The sequence below is a fragment of the Homo sapiens genome, chromosome 11 (genome assembly GCF_000001405.40).
Source record: "Homo sapiens chromosome 11, GRCh38.p14 Primary Assembly".
Classification (NCBI taxonomy): domain Eukaryota; kingdom Metazoa; phylum Chordata; class Mammalia; order Primates; family Hominidae; genus Homo; species Homo sapiens.
In genome coordinates, this window is record NC_000011.10 from 89,569,989 (window position 1) to 89,594,567 (window position 24,579).

At 36.5% G+C, this 24,579-nt stretch overlaps 1 protein-coding gene across 1 annotated transcript in view, besides 1 other annotated feature; it reads right to left on the bottom strand.

Moving 5' to 3' along the window:
* The window catches only part of NOX4 (NADPH oxidase 4), a 265,205-nt gene extending 245,636 nt beyond the window's left edge, over positions 1 to 19,569 (bottom strand). The window contains exon 1 of the mRNA NM_001143837.2: positions 19,452 to 19,569. The gene's annotated coding sequence lies outside the window, so the exon portion shown is untranslated. The remainder of the gene's footprint in view (positions 1 to 19,451) is intronic.
* Positions 1,030 to 1,848: an enhancer, noted in NCBI's record as "OCT4-NANOG-H3K27ac-H3K4me1 hESC enhancer chr11:89304186-89305004 (GRCh37/hg19 assembly coordinates)". NCBI's record gives its function as "activates a minimal SCP1, AML or CMV promoter by ChIP-STARR-seq in naive H9 embryonic stem cells {active_cell/tissue: H9 hESC(naive)}" and the evidence as "EXISTENCE:reporter gene assay evidence [ECO:0000049][PMID:30033119]".
* Positions 19,570 to 24,579: the final 5,010 nt, after the last annotated feature.

Genomic DNA, 24,579 nt, shown 5'->3' on the forward strand with positions numbered 1-24,579 from the left:
GAGACTCTGTCTCAAAAAAAAAAAAAAAAGAAAAAAGAATATAACTGTTCTGCCAGAAAGACACATTAATGCATATGTTTATTAAAGCACAATAGCAAAGATGTGGAATCAAGGTAGACACTCATCAGTGCTGAACTGGATAAAGGAAATGTGGTAGACATGTACCATGGAATATTACGCAGTCATAAAAAAGAACGAAGTCATGTCCTTTGCAGCAACACATGTGGAATTGGAGGCCATTATCCTAAATTAGTTAATGCAAGAAAAGAAAACCAAACACCACATGTTCTCACTTATAAGTGGGAGCTAAATATTGAGTATACATGGTTATAAATAATGGACACTAGGGCCTACTTGAGGGTGGAGGGTTGAAGGAGAGTGAGGTGTGAAAAACCACCTCTCAGGTACTGTGTTTATTACCTGGGTGATGAAATAATCTGTGTAAGAAACCCCTGCAACATGCAATTTACCCATGTAACAAACCTGTATATGTACCCCTCGAACCTAAAAAAAGTTGGAAAGAAAAAAAAGTGATTTTCAATATATATGTATGTATTTTTAAAAGGCCAAATACTGTGGCTTATGACTAATCCCAACACTTTGAGAGGCTAAGGTGAAAGGATCACTTGACCCCAGAGTTCAAGGCCACCCTGGGCAACATAGGGAGACCTTGTCTCTATGAAAGACAAGAAATTCATCAGGTGTGGTGGTGCATACCTGTAGTTGCAGAGAGGAGGCTGAAGTGGAGGATCACTGGAGCCTAGGAGGTTGGTCCTGCAGTGAGCCATGATTATGCCATTGCACTGCAGCCTGGGAAAGACAGCAAGACCCTATCTCAAAATTAAACAAACAAATAGTATGGTTTATTGTGTATGGCTCAATACTTTATCTTGTCAACATGCCACACCCTATGGGAAGGAGAATTAATCTCTATCTTGACCTCCAAAACCATAGATTAGGTTCACTTAATTTTATACTTTATGCAATTTAATCATAGAATATGTATACTTTTTAATGTAACTTCTTTTGCTCAGTTACGTTCATGAAATTAATCCATATTTTTACTTGTAACTGTACATTGTTTATTCTCATTTCTGAAGAGTATTCAGTTTAGCCATTCTGGCATAGTGGCTTTAATTTACATTTCCACAGTGACTAAGGATGTTAAGCATCATTTCTTACGTGCTCTTGATCTAAGTAATTGGATATTTTCCCACTTTATTGGCAGCATTTTTACTCTCTTGATGGCATATTTTTGATAAACAGTAGTTCTACATTTTAAAATAGTCTGATTTATTATTTTTTCTTCTCTGATTTATACTTTTTTTTTTTTTCGAGACGGAGTCTTACTTGGCTGGAGTGCAGTGGCATGATGTCGACTCACTCCAACCTCCGCCTCCTGGGTTCAAGTGATTCTTCTGCCTCAGCTTCCTGAGTAACTGGGACTACAGGCGCACACCACCATGCCTGGCTGGTTTTTGTATTTGTAGTAGAGACGGCATTTCACCACATTGGCCAGGCTGGCCTCAAACTCCTGACCTCGTGATCTGCCCGCCTGGGCCTCCCAAAGTGCTGGGATTACAGGCGTGAGCTACCGCACCCAGGCTATACCTTTTTAAATAAGCAAAATTACTGCCTACTCTAAGAGCAATAAGATGTTTTGTTATGTTTTCTTTGTAAAACATGCATTGTTTACTTTTGTGAAAAAAAAAAAAATAAACCTCAGGACCCCCAAATTACTAAGCCAAGGGAAAATTCAAGCTGGGAACTATGTCACCCAAACCTGCCTTCCATTGTATTCCTAAATAAGGTAGCTACAAAGATAAAAAGCTACATACCTCCCCCACAGGGAATTTCCTTGTGGACAAAGGACAGACGGAACTCAAAGTCATCCCTCTGAGGCTCACCTGAGACAAATGCATGTCTGATTGCTTTCTCCACTGCATTGTTTATGTAAAAATGTAGATTCACTGAGCCAGACCAAATTGTGTATTGGTGTATTCAGTGGAAGGCTGATCAAGGACTCAAAAGAATACAGTCTTTTGCCTCCGCCCCCCTCAAGTAGTCCTGATTTACTGTACCTAAGGCAATGTTACACATATTAATTGATGTCTCATGTCTCCCTAAAATGTATAAAAGCACACTTGAACCCTGACCACCTTGGGCACATGTCTTCAGGACCTCCTGAGGCTCTGTCAGGGGCCATGTCCTTAACCTTGGCAAAATAAACTTTCTAAATTGATTGAGACCTGTCTCAAATACCTTTTGGTTTACAACCTCATATTCAGATCTGCAATCCACCTGGAAATGATTTCTGTATATACATGAGCATTTTTCAGTTTTAATTTTATTTTTTCTTATTTTGGCTCGTTTTTGCTATCGACCTCTAGCTCAACTAAATTGTGGTCAAGAAACATTCTGTATGATTTCAGTCCTTTGAATTTTATGAATATACATTATGACTAGTGTTTGGCTAATTGCTATTAAGTTCTTCTTGAGACAATAAAAATGATGTGCATTCTGCAGAATTATATGTTTTTTTGTTTGTTTGTTTGTTTGTTTTGTTTTTCTGTTTTTTTGAGACGGAGTCTCACTCTGTCGCCCAGGCTGGAGTGCAGTGGCACAATCTAGGCTCACTGCAAGCTCCACCTCCCGGGTTCACGCCATTCTCCTGCCTCAACCTCCCAAGTAGCTGGGACTACAGGAGCATCTTTTTTCCCGTCTTTTTCCCCATCTTCTTTCTTATCTTTTTTCTTTCCAACCTTTCTGTATTTTCTTTTTACATATATCTCTTAAATAGTGTAAAATCGAGTTTCGTTTTTTGTCTAGGCAGATAACAACTGTCTTTATTTACATTAAATATTTTTAGTATTTGGCTTTAAATCTACAATCTTGCTCTACATTTTCTATTTGTCTTATGTAGTCTTATACTTTATAATCTCTTTTCTTGCCTTCTTTCATATTAAAATTCTTTTCTCTTTTCCCCCAAATTAACTCAGCATTTATTCCTCTTTTACTATAGTTCACTGGTTTTCCTGAGAAACATGTACTAGAATTAATTGATACTCTCTTCCCAGACAATGCAAGCACTGCAGAACACCTTTTCCTTCAAAGTATATGCATTTTAAAATTTATTTTAATTATGTACATATTATAAGACCCCTGAGACAATATATTATTATTTTTTGCAGTCGGTATTCATTTAAATTTACCTGCATATTTTATCATTTATTTTGCTTTAACCCAACTTTAAGAACTGATGCTTTTGGCTGGGCATGGTGGCTCATGCCTGTAATCCCAGCACTTTGGGAGGCTGAGGCAGCAGATCACAAGCTCAGGAGATCGAGACCATCCTAGCTAACACAGTGAAACCCTGTCTCTACTAAAAAAAGTACAAAAAATTAGCCAGGCGTGGTGGCGGACGCCTGTAGTCTCTGCTACTCAGGAGGCTGAGGCAGGAGAGTGGTGCAAACCCGGGAGGCGGAGCTTGCAGTGAGCCGAGATCGCCCACATGACTCAAACTTTTAATAGCTGTTTTGCTTCTGATGCACTCTTAGACCTGTTACTGGTGGCAGATATCTGAGTTACCAGCTGCGAATCTGTACGGGTCTGCAGCAACCTGAATTCTTACCTCCTCAGAAGAAAGAATTCAATTTAGGGGCATAAGGCAGAAAAAGAGGAAGTTTCAGAGCAGGAGTGGAAGTTTATTAAAAAGGCTTTAGAACAGGAAAAAAAGGAAAGATCACTTGGAAGAGATCCAAGTGGGCGACTTGAAGAACAAGTGTCGCATTCAGCTGTCATCCTAGGACTTTGTAGGCTGGCATCTTATGCCCCTTTTTGTGATTCTTCCCTTAGGGGGAGCTGCCCTCATGCGCAGTGCCCTCTTTACGCTTGGGAAGTGAGCACGTGCACTGTCTTTAGGAAGTGGTACACATGCCCATCTGAGGATTCCTTCCCTTTTCCGGTGGAGTCGCCCCAGAAGGTCATACTCTGATATTTTGCCTCTTAATGCATATGCCTGGGAAGTTGCTTCTTCCTGGCTGCTGCATAATTTTAACACTTTAATGTTAATAGCTTTGGATGGTAAGGAGGTTGTCTCTCCCTGATGCCCTGGCACAGGCTGCCAAATTATCATTTTTAGAGAGGCAGTGTGATAATTGTCAAACCATCACTTGACATTGCTAGTGGGTAGGGGTGAACAGCCCTCTCCTGCCATGCTCATGCCTGTCTAACTACCTGTAACAGACCTAGAGTACGCTTGTCTGATTCCAACCCATTCTCAAGGGATTTACCAGAGCCACACTATTTGGTGACATTTATTTCCAAGGCAATTTTCCATGGACCCAGGAATCTTCCCAAAGTACTGCCCAATCTGTCGGATACCTATTCTGGGCTGCCAATGCCTACAGAGCAGAAGGATTCCAAAAAGCAGGCTCTTCTCTCTAGATTTCTGGTTTCTTCCAGGTATTGAAGCCATAATTATTTCCTACTTTATTAGTTATAAGATGACATAAGGAAAATGATTCATATATTTTGTTTAGCTCTTTGTTATGCTCTTCAGGAAGTCTGGTTCAAAATATTCAGTTTGCCATTACCAGAAGTCTATAATGACCTTTTACAAGGCTTTTTCTCTCAACTGGACTAGATCTCTAAGAATTATCTTATTTTCTGTTCCACTTCTAAGTACCTGCGTGGCACTTAGTAGGCAAATAGTCAACATTGTTAAACAAATTATTCACTTTACTCAGATAGCCCCAAAGAAAATACTACAATACATCAATAGTGCTATCTCAAACATTCATACATTTAGAGATGAATCTGGATGAAGACAGACACATTTTCCTATGGCTGTGTTTTAATAATTTATGTAGTTACCTAGTATACCAAGGCGTCATTAAAGATATTGCTAGTGAGGCCAGGCGCGGTGGCTCACGCCCATAATCCCAGCACTTTGGGAGGCAGAGGTGGATGATCACTTAAGGTCAGGAGTTTGGGACCAGCCTGACCAACATGGTAAAACCCCGTCTCTACTAAAAATACAAAGATTAGCCAACCGTGGTGGCACGTGCCTGTAATCCCCACTACTCTGGAGGCTGAGGCAGGAGAATTGCTTAAACCCAGGAGTCAGAGGTTGCAGTGAGCCAAGATTGTGCCTTTGCACTCCCGACTGAGCAGCAAGAGCAGAACTCCATCTAAAAAAAAAAAAAAGATATTGCTTGTAAAAGCTCAATTTACATTTCTAATGAAGCTTAGTGCCTATTAAGAAATGGAGGTACATTGTAGTAAGTGTTTAATTTTACACTGATATTTTAAACTAGGCAGAACCAAATAATTATTTTTTTGTGTGATGATGCCAAGAAATTTTTTCACCCAGGAATCTGTTTTATAAGAAACAGCCTACAGATCTGTAGATAAAAGGGAAGATGAGTGAAAAATCAAAATGGGAAAGCACATCTATTGCAAAATGAGAGAAATTGAGTAAAATAATCTGACAATTTAAGCCAAATATAATCATTGATTTATTCTACTTGCTATATATACTACGTAAGTCATGGTTCATAGACTATAATGGGCAAGTATGGCATTGTTTTCCAGCCACTTTATAATATAACCTCTTCTCCCACTCACTCCATCAATAAAATTACAGTAGGAGCTGCCCCTTTTTGTTTCTGTTTTTTACTTCCTTTCTTTCCCTTTTACTTTCTTTCTCCATTTCAACCTTCCTTCCTTCTTTCCTTCTTTTTCCTTCTCCCTCTCTTCCTCCTTCTTCTTTCTTCTACTTCATTTCCTTCTCTTCCTACTTCATTTATTTTTATTTTCCTTTTAATAACTTTAAGCATTACAAAAACACTAGATACTTATTCAAATTCAAGTTTTGTCACTTGGTCAAGTCTCTGAACATTTGTTGTCACAGTTCATTAATATCTAAAACAAAATTATTAGAAAAGTGATGTTTAATGTGTCTCCTAGTTATAACAGTCCATAAGTCTATGAATGCTCCATGTTGCTAACAAGACTGTATTTCTCTGGCCACAACTGTTTGTCCAGTTTTGGGCACATGATCCAAGCTGAACAAATGATTACCTTCTCTGCAGTTTTTGGACTTGGAACCAGAGATAGCAGCAGTTAGTAATGTTTTCTCTTTGGAGGTTAAATTGAAAGGTGTACAACTTTAAAACTGCTTGTAGTCAACTTTACTGCTAAGTTGAGAAAGTTTGAAAAGGAAGGGAAAAACAATGTGAGCATTCAAGAAGCAGCAGAGATGAAAGCCCAAGTCCCTGATGTCATGTGAGTTCTAGTGTTCACTACCTGTCACTAGATCCAGTGTCCCTGGGGTACAAATATAGCCCTCTCTTTTTTCTGGTTTGGTTTCCATAACATGACCTAGAATCCTTCCAATAAATTACTTTTTTCCCTGAGATCATTTAAATTGTATTTCTGTGTCTTTAAACTTGAGAAATCTTAAAAATCATACGATAAAAAAGCTATATTTTAATCGTGGCTATATTTTTCTTGAGAAATGTTATTTAAATCTAGCTTCTTCTTATATTTTTATATCCCTTATGATAACTGTCTGCTCACATTTTCACATGCTATCTGCCATTAACGCCATATAGTTAATGCCAAGGGGACACAATCCAGCTTTGTCTTTAGTGTGACATTATTCAATTTCCAGGCAAATGGTGAGTATTTCTCAAAAAGCTTTTGGCTTATAGGACATTCCTTCAATCTTTAATGTCACATTCATATAATCTCATATTCATTTCTATTAATATACAGAGTAAGAATTTTTTTTTAGTTTTACAAATATTTCCTGAACATTTGGTTATGTAATGGAGCTATATATGATTAAAAAGTAGCAACTCTGCAATCACAGTAACACCAGTAATTTGTTTCAAAACAAATTCTTTAACTTCATATATACACAAAATTATGCTATTGGTAAATTTAAAAGTTAGAGACCCAATACTATGCCATTTATATAACATGTGAAGAATGCCAGAGGCTGAGATGTCTTGTCAGCACATCCAGTACTGATTATGTAACTTAGATTAAATCCTTTTACCTGTTAAGGGTCCCAATTTCTTTTCTTCTGCAAGGTGGTATTAATAATATCACCTTATCTCCTTCAAAAACTTTTTGTAAAAGAGCTCAAGCAGCAGTGGGATATGATGGAAGATTTATATTATTAATTTTTTACTAGCATAGAGAATTACCCAAATATTTTAAATTTCAATAATATAAAAACAATTCTGTAGTTTTGATAATCTATTCTTATATATTTCATTCTCAATGATGATATATAAGATAGATCTAGAAGATTAAGTCACAGGATACACAGGAAAACTTGATTTAAAAATATCTAATGTATGAGCCAATTTTCTTAAGCCATTTACATATCTTGCTGAAAAATAGAATGCTGGAAAGGGCTCAGATAAAGGATTTAGGTAAGGAAATCCAAACAAGAGTTACTATTTGAAGATCTTTTATTATGAATCAGGAACTTTACAAATATTGCTTGCCATTTGACAAATAACCCAGAAAGATAAGAAATATTATCTCAACTTCACACAGAAGGAAATTGAGATTAGAAAGATTAAATCATGTGCCAAATTTATATAGCTAGTTAATCACTGACCTGGGATTCAGCTCCTCTCCAGCTCATTATGGCTACAGAGAAAAACTTTTTTCTATTCTGCAACACAGAACTGCTTCTCTAGACGTCACCAGCTATGTCTTATCCTCTGCAATTAGTTTATAATTTCTTTTGGAGTACATGAGTGAAATAATTAATGAAAGAATTCATATGTACATAAATTAATTTATATATTAATAAAGTATATAAAAACAAATCCAGTAAATTTTACTTTTCCAAAGATTTTACAATACTCTGAGAATTGAGGAGTGTGTATGATTTTGTAATTAGTACATTGCATATTTCTAAGGCAAAGTTTAAAATTATATATTAATGCACATCTGTCAATTTTGTGGAACTCTGCATGGTGAGGTTTGGATTTTTTAGGTATCCAATACCGTATGTTTTCTTAGGGCCCTAGGAGGTGAGTTTTTGTGGCTCATGTCAATTTTTTTGAGTTAGACAATCCAAGCTTGCTCTTTTGGAAGTATATGCTTGGAATTTTTACATGTGCATCATTTTCCAAGTTATTATTTAAATCTTTTTTTTTTTTTTTGAAACAGAGTCTCGCTCTGTTGCCAGGCTGGAGTGCCGTGGCGTGATCACGGCTTACTGCAACCTCTGCCTCCCGGGTTCAAGCAATTCACCTGCCTCAGCTTCCTGAGTAGCCGGGACTACAGGTGCATGCCACCACGCCCAGCTAATTTTTGTAGTTTTAGTAGAGAAATGATTTCACCATGTTGGCCAGGATGGTCCCTATCTCTTGACCTCGTGATCCTCCTGCCTCAGCCTCTCTAAGGAGGCCTCCCTCGGATTACAGGCATGAACCACTGCACCTGGCCTATTTAAATCATTTCTAATAGATATAGCTACAATTTACCATTAATACTCTCAACAACCCTAAAATATAGTCACTTTACATATAGATAAACTAATATATGGAAAGATTATTCTACATGAGATAATATAGCTTGTAAATGGTACAATCAGTTAATAAGACAAACTTTCTGACTCCAAGGTGAAGATTCCATAGCCACAAACAACCTCAATTAATGTTGAATTCAAAGATATATTGAGGTCAACAGGAAAAATGTGTAAAAAAGATGCAAACACATTAAATCAGATTTCATAACTATTCCTGTGGGTACAATCTAGCAATTGTATATATTACATTGTAATATGAAATGTATTTCTTTGAAAAACTATGCCCATACAAGGAATTTCACATGAGTATCTTTAGGAGCTTTATTCCTGATTGCCAAGACTTAGAAACAGTCAAGAGTGTTCACTTCAATGGGTGAATGGATAAACAAATTGCAGCACTTACCTGCAATGAAATATTATTTAGCAATAAAACAAATGAACTATCCAGCCATGAAAAGACACAGAACCTTACTTTCATATTTTTAAGTGAAAGAAGCCAATCTGAAAAAGCTGCATACCATATGATTACAACTGTATGACATTCTGGGAAAGACCAAACAATGGAGATACTAAAAAGATAATTGGTTTTCTAGAGTTCATGGAAGAAAGGGATGGAGGAGTAGGTGGAGCACAGGGAAGTTTTAGGATGGTAAAATTATTTTGTAGGATACTGTGATGAATACATGCCATTATTCATTTATCAAAAACTCATAGAATGCACAACACCAAGAGTAAATCCTGATGTAAACTATGGGCTTTGGGTGATAATGGTGTGTCTGTGTATGTTCATCAATTGTAGTGAATGTACCACTCTGGTGGGGGATGTTGATAATTGGGGAGGTTATGCATGTGTGGGGACAGAGAGTGTGTGGGAAATCTCTGTACCTTCTGCTCAATTTTGCTATGAACCTAAAACTGCTTTAAAAAAAAAAGTCTATTTAAAGAACAAAATAGCCATAGAATATACAACATAAAGAGTGAATCTACCTGTAAAATAGCCATAGAATATACAACATAAAGAGTGAATCTACCTGTAAAATAGCCATAGAATATACAACATATAGAGTGAACCTACCTGTAAACTAAGGACCTTAGTTAATAATAATATATAAAATTGGTTTATCAACTGTAACAAATTTATCATACTAATGTAAGAGATTAATAATAGGGGAAACTGTAGGGAGTGAGGGGTTATAGGGAACTTTGTACTTCCTACTCGCTTTTTCTGTAAAACAAAAGCTGCTTTAAGAAATAAAACCAATTAATTCAAAAATGAAGTAGATGTATATGATGTTGATATTATGAGTATACACCTATAGAAATTGCCTTTGTCTGGAGAATTCAGTAAATGCTCCAAGGTCAAATGAAAAAAAAAAAGACCATTTAGAAGATATGTAAATTGATTATGTCTGTGAAATAAAATTTCCAAAGACTATAAGAATCACATATTCAAAAAACGCTTAGATTGCATCCTGGGAAATGATCACGAGGACTTTAAATGTAGCTCTAGAGAAGATAAAGATCTTGATGAGCGGGTTTTGTGTAAGAGCTTGAGTAAGTTGTATCATGTATTAAGAGTGAGATGAAAAAACATGCCATTTCTTAATAATTTTGTTATTTGAAAAGATATACTATTTATTTATTTTTGCAGTTTTGAGATAGGGTCTCACTCTGTCACCCAGACTGAGTGCAGTGGCATGATTATAGCTCACTGAAGCCTTGACCTCCTGGGCTCAAGTGATCCTCCTACCTCATCGTCCTAAAGAGCTGGGACTACAGGTGCGCACCACCACACCTTGCTAATTTTATTTTTTGTAGAGATGAGGTCTCACTATGTTGCCCAGGCTAGTCTCGAACTTGTGCATGCAAGTGATCCTCCTCCCTAGACTTCCTGAAGTGCAAGTATTGCATGAGTGAGCTACTGAGCTCAGCCTAAAATATGCGGTTTAAATATGTAAATGTAACTAATTTAATAAACTAAGAATTAAAACTAGTTATTAGATAACCTCATAAACATTAAACTGATAAGTGAATGTATATTATTCTTGGGCAAAATCATTTAATTAGTAAAATTCTCATTGGGAATATGGAGGCTCACTCTATTTGGGGAATTATATTATATTGAAGCATTCATGGTATTTTTTAAGTGCTTATCATATATTAGGCTCTGGGTTAGGTATTGTAAGGCAGATACAAAATAATCACCAAGATATGGTTCCTGCACAGAGTCCCTAAATTATGATTCTATGATAGGGTTTGAATGGAAATAATTGAAGTGTAACTCTAGTCACTGCTCAATGTCTATGAACAGTTCCTGTGAAACATGGAATTTATTATGCCAGTCTAAAGGAAGGAGAAATTGCCTTGTCTGGAGAATTCAGTAAACACTCCAAGGAGAAAACAATATTTTTGATGACCTTCAGTGGATTTGAAAAATGGAGAGGAAAAGATGAAAATTTTAGGTTGAAAGAAATTCCTTAAGCACAAATAAAAGTGCAGAAAATAATAAATTGTGTCTGAGGGTTGACAGGTAAGCCAGTAATTTGGTTAGATCACAAGAATCTGAGTATGAAGTGGAGGGGAGAATTCTTATGGAAATGGTAGATGTGGGTAAGGCATGTGCTGGATTGACAGCAAGATAAAGCATAGTCCTTTTTCAGTTAGCAATAGATGGGGAGATATTAAAACGATTAAGAGTTTCTGAGCAAGAGCTATCCCTTAAAAAACTCAAGGTTATTCTTCAGGTTTGTGATAACAGAACTTACCTTACTGCATTACACTTTATCAGGTCCTTTTGTCCTCTAGACTGTGAGATTCTCAAGGACAGATGTCATGTTTTATTCATCTTGTTATTTTCAGCACTTAATATATAACTGGTACACAGTGTAAGAACTATAAATGCTTATTAATGAATAATTGAATTTCCTTTTTCTTAAACACTTTTAATATAATTTTGAGAACTTAGAAATATTGGTTTGAAAATACTCGAATCTGAGTCAATTCTAATAACCACTGACTTACTACCTCTGATTGGACTCCACGTCAGACATCTGGTGTTGATAGGGAAGGGACAAGGGAAGGAATTAAAATGTCATGGTTCAAAGAGACTAAGCCCCTAATAAATATATTACTGCTTTTTTTAAAAAATACCCACATTATTGAGGTATAATCTACATACAAAATGCTGTACATATTTAATGCATATAACTTGATAAGTTTGGAGGTAACTATACACCCATAAAATCATGACCACAATCTATGCCATAAACTTATCTATCATCTCCATAAGTTTCCTTTATTTATTTTTTATTTCTTTTGCAGGAGTACTTGACATAAGATCTATCCATGAAAGCAAACTTTTAAGTATACAATACAGCATTGTTAACCACAGGCCATACACTGTACAGTAGATATCCAAAACTTATTCATCTTGCATGACTAAAACAATTTTGTACCCTTTGACCAATACTTCCCCATTTCTCCCTCCCTCCAGCTCCTGTCAGCTGCTATTCTAGTCTCTTGTTCTATTAGGTTGACTATTTTAGATTCCTCATAAAAGTTGGGGTCATTCAGTGTTCATCCTGGCTTATTTCACTTAGAATGTCCTCTAGATTCAAACATGTTGTCACAAATAGCAAATTTCCTTTCTTTTTAAGGCTGAGTAATATTCCATTTTATATATATATACATGTAAACACACACTATATATTCCATATTTTCTTTATCCATTCATCTGTTGAGGGATATTTAGGTTTTTTCCATATTGTGGCTATTGTGAATAATGCTACAATGAACATGAAAGTACAGATATCTCTCCAAGATCCTGACTTCAATTTCATTGAATATATACCCAGAAGTGGGATTGTTGGATCAAATAATTCTATTTTTAACTTTCTGAGGAATCTCCATACTGTTTTCCATCATAGCTGCACTAATTTACATTCCCACCAAGAGTGTACAAGGATTCCCTATTCCCCACAAAACTTGTCTTTGAACTACTGCTTTTCTTTGAACTCACTGTCCTCCCAATATACTAGACCTGGTAACTGGATATTTAGATTGTTTCTTGTGCCTAAAAAGTCTTTGTGACATGTCTGTGACCCCAGCTTCTCTAAGACTGTGGCTTATTTTGCTTCTCCAGGTTCCCTGCTTAAAGTTTAACGTTGAAACTCAGGCCAGTGCCTGCAATCCAGTGAGCTACCTGCTGACAGGTGTCCTTCAGGCGTTTCTCCTGGAATCCTGAATGCTGCTGTTGGAATTTGTCTCTATGCCCTCCTCAAACCTCCTTATCAGGACACTGCTCTGAATACTGCATTCTGTCCTTCAGACTGTCCTTCCCCTCAGCATCTGCTATTCAGTTTCTATAAGCAGCGCCTGTTCCTCCTATACAGGAAGATTTTGTTCTAGGTCTGGTCCTAGCCTGCTATAAATAACTGAATCACATACAAGCAACTTCAAAAATATTACTGAATATAACATTAAAATAATCTACATTTTAAAATTAAAAATACACAATCAAAATAACACCACTTCTTTTATTCTTTTATATAGCATAGCAGTATAATTTATCTTTTTACATTACAAACAATGGCCAAAATGATCAGAAAATATGTACTTGAAGTTAATTACTTTTACAAATATGATAAGATGTCTTGGAGAAATAAGAGAGGAATTTCTGCCACAACCCATTCTGATGTCTGAGAAAAAAAAAAGCGTTGTCCTCAGCACTGCATAAACTCAGGTGAAACTTAATATTGTTTATTTTTAACATTTCCAATGGTTATTAACTAACAGACTGTCAGTGTTGGAAGAGACTTTAGAGGTCAGCAATAATTTCTTTCTTGAATGGGATAAGTGCAGTAATCTTATAACTCTTTAAAAGTAAAATGGATTAGCTAAACTAATTCCCTTTCCACATTGAAATGCTATGCAACATATTTGAAAAATCTTTATTGCTTCCATTCCAGTGGCAACAAACAGAAAGTTTTCCTTGCCTTGTCTGTCAGCCTGGTTACTATCAAAGATTTATCCTAAAAAGAGCATAAAAAATTTTCTTACAAAAATTATACTTTTGTGGATTTGCTATAATAAGTTATCCCCTTAATTAAGACTTTCCCACCTAGCAATGGGAAAAACTTCTGTCATTACTATCCCTGTGATAACATTACACATTACAACATTACCACATCTCTGTGGTAACATTACTCCAGGAATTGCACTGATCCCTCTAAGGTCTGTCTTTTTACCTGAGTAAACGTTCCAAGGTTCACATCTTTGTTTACCCAGGACTACTACTGCACTTCGCACATGGCAGTGGTTCAATAAATATTTTTTAAAAGGAATGGATAAATGAATGCAACCAATAAAAGATAGGTAAATAATTATTTGTATCAACACACAACTGAATGTATATCTGAAATTGAGTAATGGTTAAAATCAATGATGCCTTTGAAAAATTACCTGACTTTCACATTCTTACTTTCCTTCTGTTACTATCGTAACAGTAAGGCAAGCCAAACACAGTCTCTCCTCTTGGGTAGTGAATTCCTACTCATTCTTCTTAGGATAAAAATTTGATTCTTTGTGAAGTATTTCTCATTCCCTCAGGCAGAACTTTATATTCATTTCTCTTATTACTTTGCAATAAGAGAATTACATTGTATTGTCATTTTCTCCTCAGGAATTATCTAGGCCTTAAATGAAAACTAAATATGAGTCTTTATATATCACCGAAGGTTGCTCACTGTGTTTCTGTACCTCTGGATTTAAATTTGCTGCCCCGATCACATTCCCTGTGCTCATAGATATCTTTGAAGGATATACACATGCATGACATTTTTACCAGTTTTGCACCATAATCAACCTTTTAAATGGACTCATTTTACTTTTTTACTCTGTCATGTCAACAACTACTATTAAAATGTAGTAACAGATGTTTGAAGTGTGTGGTAAATAAATTTGTGTGTGTAGCACAGATGATAAATATACTGCTGAGCTTTGACAGTTTAATTCACTTGAAATCCAAACAGTTTGAATGTCAGTTAACAATGAACAACTTTAAGCAGGCTGTGGTAACTATAATGCTTATTGGGAAATGATGAATATTTTATATTCTAAAAAGTACAGCCTATTTTCCTTTGTCCTAAGTAAAAATGTGTAGTTCAAGAATTGAGCATTGAAATTCCCCCATCTAGAATTCTCTACCTGAAAAAGAATGACTAAAGATAGATAAGATAATGTATATACATATATTGATATATATTTCTGCATGTAGAGAGAGATCATTCTATCACTCATCTATCTATCTAGATGCTATACTGTGAAATGAAATGATAGATTGCTCATATACAATGATTGTCTTCATTTTTGGTTTGTGGTCTAGCAATCCTTGGGATATACAAGGACTTGTAGCCTAGGGGTGTTAAGTTGTTTTTGGTATAATTACTTCTATTTATGCAGTAATGTCCCCAGGCTTAGGATCCCAACCAGGGCCTCACCATTATTGGGTGGGCGAATTTTGTATTGTCAGGTATCTGGCATCACCTGAGGCATTAGCTTACACCGGCGCTTATAGAACCTGACACCATGATTCTTTAGGTGTCATTAGGCCTCTTTAGTTATGCTTAGAAATTCTTAGTCACTGCCCCAAAGATAAGCTTTTCAGTTTGACCACCTTCTAGGAGCCACTCTCATATTGCTCAATGCTGCTCCTCCTGGACACATTCAATTTCTCCTGCTTCCTTTCTTACCTCTCTTAAAATTCACCAGACCTTCTGAAATCCACTGTTTGTGGTAAACTCCTCTTCATGTTCTCAACTAGACACAAAATTCTTTTCTAATTCCTTGCATTAATTATACCCTAGCATATATTAGAAGACACTGATTTGGCTGCAAACTTCTAGAACATGGTTAAGCAAGCTTTCCCTATAAAAGGCCACATAGTAAATATTTTAGGCTTCATGGGCCATATGGTTTTTGCTGCAATTAATCAACTCTGACACTGCAGCACAAAAACAGCCACAGACAATGTATAAATTAATGAGTGTTGCTGTGTTTCAATGAAACTTCATTTACAAAACAAGCAGCAGGCCAGATTTAAGGGCCTTGGTGATCAGCCCCTGCTTTACAGTAGAGAGTGTCCATCCTCCCGTATGCCTTGTTTCACAAAAGCAAACGATTGAGTCACAAATCTAACTTTCCAGTTCATTGTACTCCCATCCTTGTATAAGTCATCCTTTAACCCATTCACATCACTGTTCTTTACCAATTTCTTGGTCACTCCTGAACATATTTTAAAGAATCTGCTGACTGATTCACACTATTCCTCTTAACCCAAGGCCTATCTACTATCTGAAATTTCTATGACAATCACTGAATATAAACATTTCCAAATTCAACAATAATATTTCACAACATTTAATTTCTTGTTCACCTCAACTCTGATTATCTTACAATCCATCTTGTCTACCCTTACTTATGACAGTATTTTGGATCATGTCATCAAAATGCAGTGCTCTAGAGCAGAACATTAAACTGCTGACAGAATATAATAATTTATAACACTCTCTCACTACAACCTCCTTTTATTCCAGTTATTCTCATTCCTTTATCTCTACCAAAATGATCACTCAAATTAATTAAGCTTTCATTCCTTTGACTTCTCAATTTTATCCCAAACCATTCTATTTCATCTGTCTCTACTTCCTTTTCTATTCAACTGAAGCCTTATAATAGTAGCAGTCAGAATTTATTGAGTACTTATTAAGTGTCAGACACTATGCTAAGTATTTCACATGCATTATATAATGTTAGTTCTCACAACAACTCTGTGAGGTAGGTACCAATGTCTTCAGATGAGGCAAATGTGATTTTGAGAAATTAGGTAATTGAATCACCCAACTAAGTGTCAGAGTGAGCTTTGAGTATAGGCCTGCCAAACACTAAAGTGCATTATGCAAAATAATGCAAGTAACTCATTTAAGTATTCTTAGTGCTTATTTGTGGCACTGGTAATATAAAGATCAAGAAGAAATGGACTACTTCTTCAAGAAGCTGAAGTTTAGTGGTATAATCCTTCATGCATACAATCATCCTTCATAAATACAATGCAACATCAGGTAATAATAAAGAAATGTTCAAATTAATATTATAGCAAATAGGAGAGAATGAACTTCCTTAAGAGACTCTTTGCAGATAAAACAACACTTCACCTGGGTCTTAAAGAGTAATCTGAAATTTACCAGGTGGGAAAATTTTAGAATATTTCAGGAGGAAGAAAAATCATGTACATTGACATGGAGATAGGCTTCAGTTGGCATGGTCCTCTAATGTTAGATAACAAAGGTGAAAGGACTGGGAGTGTTAGGAGAGGAAACTAGCAATTAGGTGACTGATAGCTATTGCACGGATTCTATGGAATCTGTATGTTTTTTCTTAGAAAATGGAGAGATTTTATTTAGTTTTATGTCCTAGTGTACATATTATAAAGAGGAAGCTCCCAAGATGATAAAAAAGGCAACTTTTGGGAGCAAAGACACAGAAAAAATAATCAGAATTGTTGAGGAAAAAGACTGAATGGAGGGCTGGCACCCTATGGGGTCAGAGAAGAAAGAATGAATTCAAGACAAATGCCAGAAACTGAATTGTGAGAGTTTAATATATTGGATGCAGTAACATAGAAGGGAGAGGATAGAGGCACCTCGATGGCTTAGATTTCTTTCCAAGGAGACTATTAAAATGGTGATGCCGCTATATAGGTACATTAATTAAGGAGATGGAAAACATTTTTTGTAAGAAGATAATGTACTGAATTTTAAAATGGCGAGTTTCAGATAGTCCAGGGATGGAGATTCTGAGATTCAAAAGTTATAATGAGTTTATTAATAGGAATGGGTGATTTGAAACAGACATGTGGAACAAAGGTGGGAGAGGGAAAGGATTGCGTTCCAGATGAACGCAATCAGAGGGGAGGAAAACTACCAGGGCATAGAGGTGCCCACAAAGCCAAGGGAATAAAAAATTGTAAGAGGGAGTGGAAAAGAGAAGCAAAATGTCTCAAACAGGCCATAAACCAATAGAACCATGGGATTAGTGGCTTAGGGACAATTTCACTGGAATTTTGGAGGCAGAAATCAATAATTTTATAATAGTTAAAAATGGTTTATGTGTTCAGATTTATCAAATGTTATATATTTATAAACTGATTTCAATTAAAATATCTATCTCTACCAATATAAATAATTTTCATCCTTTGTTTTTAGAATGTTTTTGAAAGGATTGGGATTGGGCTATTCTTAGATTTTGAAGACACTGGAGAACAGATGGCCACATTTTCAATATGACTTAAGATGATATTTGACAATAAAATACAATAATCAGTAACTTTATGTTTTCTCATTGCAACACTTGCCCCCAGATTTCTGGGGGAAAAAATCCCAATTGTTTTTCTTATTATTTCTTATAATCTATTCTCTTGTTTTCTATTCCGGTGTTAGGATCCCACATGATTATAATTTGTAATTTTCTCAGTAGTGAATAAATACTTATTTGCTTTTACTCTGCTAAATGTATAACACATTTAATGAAAATTATCCCAGTTTTACACCCTTGTCAAAATTCAAAGAAATGAGTTTAAACTTTTGTTGCTTGACTTTTTTGATTCAAATAAAGTTATGTTCATAGCAAAGAACATGTAATGCCAATTTTGTAGTAAATGCTACCTCATTGTCAATGGCAGAGAAAAGTAATCATTTTAGGCTAAACATAGCTATTTTTATTTTTTTAACCAGGCTTTCAAGAAATATTATAACAAAAAACAGAAGCATCGAGAAATACATTCCAGAAATCATGCACTTTAGACTGAAATTGTTTCCTATTCCAAAGTGATGGAAACATTAATGATTGTGTTCATTTTTAGTCTTAACAGGTCATAAGTTTCCCTTGAAACCATGCAATAATGAATTACTAATTAGTAATGAGAACTTGCTTCTTCAGCAAGTGCTTGCCTCTCCCTAAGACAGGTCAATGTGGGGTGAAACTTTTCACCTGGGTGTATGCTGCAGGCCTCTGCACTTACGGTATTAACTAAAAGTTTATTCCCTGAAATTACTAGGCAGCAATCTTTGTGAAAAAATGGTTGGCTGATTTTATTCTGTCTCTTTTTGCCTAGGAGGTTACATGGGGGAGCTGCATTTTTGAGCCGCATTTATTTTTACAACAGTCTGAATGAACTGAATCTGTAGGCGTGATTGAGAATGCGAAATAAATACAGTGCTGTGGCTCCTACCCACAGAGGATACAGATTATACTGTCAATGGCTGAATATATACACATGAAATTAACTAAAAGATGTAATTGCAGAGGGGTCCCGTATATCGGTAGTATTAGCAATATCACCATCTCTCAGTTATCTTCCCTCTCAACCCTCCCAAGGTATCTCCTCAGCCAATATATGATTAAGAAATACATATAATTAACAGACAACATATTAGCCTAAGTTTGTACCTGAAGCCTGACTACAGAAATTAGGAGAAACTGTAAATGTTCATCTACCTTGCTCCCAATTACTAGGAAATCTTTCTATTCCTAGCTCCATCTGGAGTCTCTCTCTTGGAATCCAAGCTTACACGGTTAGCTTTTTAAGGACTCTGGAGCATTTTGCTTTGATCTTTACCTTCCCACTTTTTCCGTTCCCCACCTTCACTTTCATCACAAGCAGCTTACTTGGATGTTGATTAAAAAGGGCCCAAAACTTGTCATTCCTTCCTTGAGAAGTGGAATTTCTTTCTCTACCCCTTTAGTTTGGGCTGATCCAATGATTGTTTTCAACCAGAGAATATGGCAGTAGAAGCCCTATGTAATACTAAGACTGAATATTAAGAGATTTGCTTACATTTTTAAGCACTTGAATGCCATCTCTTCGAATCCAGCAGGCATGCTGTGAGAAGTTCAAGCCATGTGGAGAGACGATGTAAAGGAGTAACAACACATTCGGCTTAGCAGCCTCATCTGAGATCCCAGACCATAACTAGCACCAGCTGCAGCCAGCCATTTGAGTGAAGTGTGCTGGGAGTTCTACCAGCAGAGCCTCCAGATGACTGCAGAACCAGCTGACATCTGATGCAATATAGCAGAACGACTCAGCTGAGGACCTAATTGATAGAGAAGCATGAGAGATAATTAAAAGTTGTTGGGCAGGGCACTGTGACTGACACGAGTAATCCAGCACTTTGGGAGGCCGAGGCAGGCAGATAGCTTGTGCCCAGGAGTTCAAGACCAGCCTGGGCAATGTGGCAAACCCCATCTCTACACACAAGAAGAATACAAAAATTAGCTGGGTGTGGTGGCATGTGCCTATTGTCCCAACTGCTTGGGGGGCTGAGGCAGGAGGATCACTTGAGCCGGGGAGAAGTCAAAGCTGCAATGAGCCAAAATCATGCTGTCAGAGGCGATCAAACCAAAGCTACTCTATCTTGAATAGGGGATGGGTAAAATAGGGCTGAAGCCAGCTGCGTTCCCAGGAGGTTAAGGTATTCTTAGTTGCAGATGAGTTAGGAGGTCCGCACACGGTACAGAGCACAAAGACCTTGCTGATGAAACAGCATATTGTAAAGAAGCCAGCCCAAGCCAGCCAAAATCACGAGGGCAACAAATGTGACCTCTGGTTGTCCTCACTCCTCATTATGTGCTAATTATAATGCATTAGCGTGCTAAAAGACACTCCCACTAGCACCATAACAGTTTATAAATGCCATGGCAACATGAGGAAGTCACCCTGTATGGTCTAAAAAGGGGTGGAACCCTCAGTTCTGGGAATTGCCCACCCCTTTCCTGGAAAACTCATAAATAATCCACTGCTAGTTTAGCATATGTCAAAAAGTAACAGTAAGTATAAGCAGCTGAGCAGCCTATGCTGCTGCCTAGCCTATGGAGTAGCCCCTCTCTCTTCCTTTACTTTCCTAATAAACTTGCTTTCACTTTACTCTATGGAGTCATAGAGTGTGTGAGATCCAAGAACCCTCTCTTGGGGTCTGGCTCAGGACCCCTTTCTGGTAATAGAGCCACTGCACTCCAGCCTGGGAGACAAAATAAGACCTCATTTCAAGAAAAAAAAAAGAAAAAAAAAGAAAATTTGTTGTTTTAAACCACTTTATTGGGTTGATGTGTTGCACAGAAATGCTTGACTTAAATACTAATTTTTATCTGAATATTTTGCTTATTAAATTTCCTAAGAATGCTTCATCTCAGTAAATTATTAAGGTTTTTTTTTTTTAAATATGAGATTCATTTAATGAGAGACAATGGACTTTGATATCAGTGAGAACTGGTTTAAATACTTTATTTTTTATTAACTATATGACTTTAGGCCAGGTATTAAACTTCTGTAAATTCTTTCTTCAACTTGAAGTATAACTAAAAAAAAAAAAAAAAAAAAAATCCCTTAAATTTTAGTGCCCCCTCTTTAAGTAACATCTACTTCTTATGGTTGTTATGGGGATTAAGTGAATCAATGTGTAAAAAAAAAAAATAGTACAGTTTCTGGCTCACATTAGGTACTTAAAACATATCAGTTTCCTTCTCATTTACCACATCCACATTGTAGGCGAATTTTAATTTTTTCTTTCTCTTACTCTCAGTTATATATGTTCCCATCTTTTTATCTGTCAAAAGACAGAGAAAGGCAACTTTCAAACAAACAAACTAACTGACCAACTAATAAACAAATAAATTTCCTTGATGTTTGCCTGTTGTCAGGCCATCCATCCAAATTCTCTGTATGTCACAATGTGGCTTTTAAAACTCTTAGTGTGGATACCAATGAATTCCGCTTGAATAAACCTTAGTTGCCAGTCTTTTTATAGACCAAGTGGCTCATGGAGGGAAAGGGGAGTGTGGCCACAAATTCCACCTCACAGCTCCCTCAACACTAATAGCTATTTAGTTTTGATTTCTCCCTCCCCTATCCCTCATTCAAGGCCTCACTAGCCATTGAAAATTTTCTCGGTAATTTGATAATCTGTCAGTGCTCCTACTAGTTTCTCTTTCCAATAATGTATTGTTCCTGTGTTCTCTGAAATTCCTCCCTTCGACAAACATTCTGCCATTGTACATATTTCACAACCCAGTGTAATTATCCATCTCTTTTAGGAAGCTTTCTAAATACAGTCCATCTCACAATAATACCTCCTTTATTTTAATTCAGAAAATTGATAATAGAGTTCCCAAATTACGTGGGTGCAATTAATAGTGCCTTGTGACTTGCTTTGTGTTTTCATGTTATTTTATAACTGTTCCGTGAATATTGTTATTTACTCAGCCAAATTGAAAGCTTGAGAGCAAAGTCTAACATTTACCAAATATGTGATATAGAGTAAGTTACTTAACTTCTTAAAACCTACAAAATGGGAGTTATAAAATCTTTCTTTCTAGATTTATCTCATTCAATTCAATGAGATAAGAAGGCCAAATATATAGTTTAGCACACAATTATGTTTAATATAAGTCAGCTAGTTTTTAAATGTGTCCAACAAATGCCTGTGAGGCAACAGATTGAAAGGTAGGATTGTTGACTCTACCATTGATCCATGCTCATAATGTAAATTATAAAATACTATTGCACAGCTCTAACCTGATATACTGTATATGTAAGGTAGGCAACTGCTATATAAATGATACATGGACATCCATTTTTTGGTTCAGTGATTATTTCTTTCAGGAAGGTCCTGATGAAGTCAAATTTCTTTTGGAGTTGTAACTTTCATCTATTAAAAACTGAATTCTGATTGTTTTGGTTCTAACACAGGAAATAAAATCACATGTGTGAGAATGAAGTTTGGCTCTTGGCAACAGGCCTAAAATAAAGATCTTGGGTAAATGAGGACAACATGAATACACTAAAACCATCAATGAACACTAGTGAAAGGTAGCAAACAGAAGCAATGTCAGAAGAGCAGGGAAAAAAGATGGGCTGAATAATGACTAAGGCCAAAGTTTACCTACTTTGAAATTTTTATAACATAAAGTAGTCTTGGGTTTGAAGAGACCTAACAATCATGTAGTCCAACCTCACACAGGTCATGATGGAGGACACATATTACTTATGTTGAAAGGAAATTATCCACAGCAAGAATACTTTGTGTGCTTGTCAAAGCCATTTTCCAGCTGTGTGGCGATATGCAACCTCTGCACATTTGTCCTTGTTTCAGCCTCTGGCATTGGTAGCATCATATAAGAAAAAGAAAAACCAGAGTCTAGTGATTGAGAATATAAGCACATCATTGTCTTTTGTGACTCAATTTCATAGATTCTGCAGAACCAGAGTCATCACTCAAAAGCAAAGTGGTTGGCTACCACCCGGTTTTGACTGTCCTTAGATAGATATAAAGTCAGCCAATAAATACTGAGTTTGAACAAGAATAAGTACCTAGTCTTTATCTCTTCTCAGATACCTGTTCAACATCTAACAGGAGACAAATATATCCCTAGGGCCAAGTATTTAAGTTCTAGGAGCAAAGAACACAGTGTGGGTACCATGATGGATGATGAAGAAAGCAATGTCATCATGTGTGAATGACACAAGCTTCCATGAAAAGATCATCAGGGATCTGCTAACCACACAAAACTTAGTTTATTAAGTTGACTGAACAAGGGAAAACAGAACATTTACCAGAGTACCCATAGTTCTCATGGGGAAAATTTAGGGAAAGGTACTGCTAGGTTTTTTGGTCGGGAGAAGGCAGACAAAGTGGTTTTAGAATAAAGTTAGTGAGCATGGTCTGGGCAGGTGTTGTTCAGAATCGATAAACAGGGAAATTAGTAGAACAGGTAATAGTCTTTTCTCTGAAACACATGAGTTCAGACTGAGGGTATAGCCACTTATCTATGGTTTTATCTTGGAAAGTGTGGGTCTGAATAAGATGACATTAAAACATTTTGAGCTTAAATAGTTTGTGTTGCATGCCATGGTTTAGTATAGTTTACACATTATGCAAATCATAGCACAGTTTGTTTTGTAAATTGTCATTTCTACTGTAACTTCTCAGAATGTATGTTTTCGCCTCACTGCAGTGGTGACTTTCTAATAAAAAAGACTGTGAAAAATATTTTTGTATTTGAAGGGAAGATTTCAAACTTTTACGTGAAAAAGCAATGCTGTTATTGTTTTACGCATTCCATCCAGGCAGCTTACTAAGGAAATACCAGGGAAAAACACATCGGATACAGACAGATTGAGGGTAGTTTTCATTTCTGGAATATATCAGATATATTTTCTTTTTTTTCTTTTTTTTGAGACAGAGTTTCACTCTTGTTGCCCAGGCTGGAGTGCAATGGTGTGATCTCGGCTAACTGCAACCTCCGCCTCCCGGGTTCAAGCGATTCTCCTGACGTAGCCGCCCAAGTAACCGGTATTACAGGCATGTGCCACCACACCCAGCTAATTTGTATTTTTAGTAGAGATGAGGTTTCACCATGTTGGTGTGGCTGGTCTCGAACTCCTGACCTCAAGTGATCCACCTGCCTGGGCCTCCCAAAATGCTGGGATTACAGGTGTGAGACATCGTGCCCAGCCTCAGATACATTGTCATAAGAGATTTATTGCCAGGAACACCTAGCATTGTAAATGATTCAGCCATAGTTTATCATTCTGTTTCTTAATAATGTCATCAATGGCTGGAAATGCTGGCCATCCTGAATCTAAGTATGGTACCATAAGCGTTCCAGAATATGATAGAAGCAATGACATACACAGTGAGGAACAATATAAATAGGACTTTTTACTCCTGGTGCACTGGCAGGGAGAACTTGAAATATTTCAGAAAAGAGGTAAGATAGGAAGTGGATGTAACAAAGACACTGCTATACCAGGGAATCCCCTAATTCCCTAACAACAACAACAACAAAGCAGGAAACATAGAGATTTAGTTTGTGATTGAATCATTATAAACATCTCTGAGGAAGCTTGACTGCAAAAACATGTCCATAGCTTTATTATAATAATCATATTAAAGAAAAATAATTGA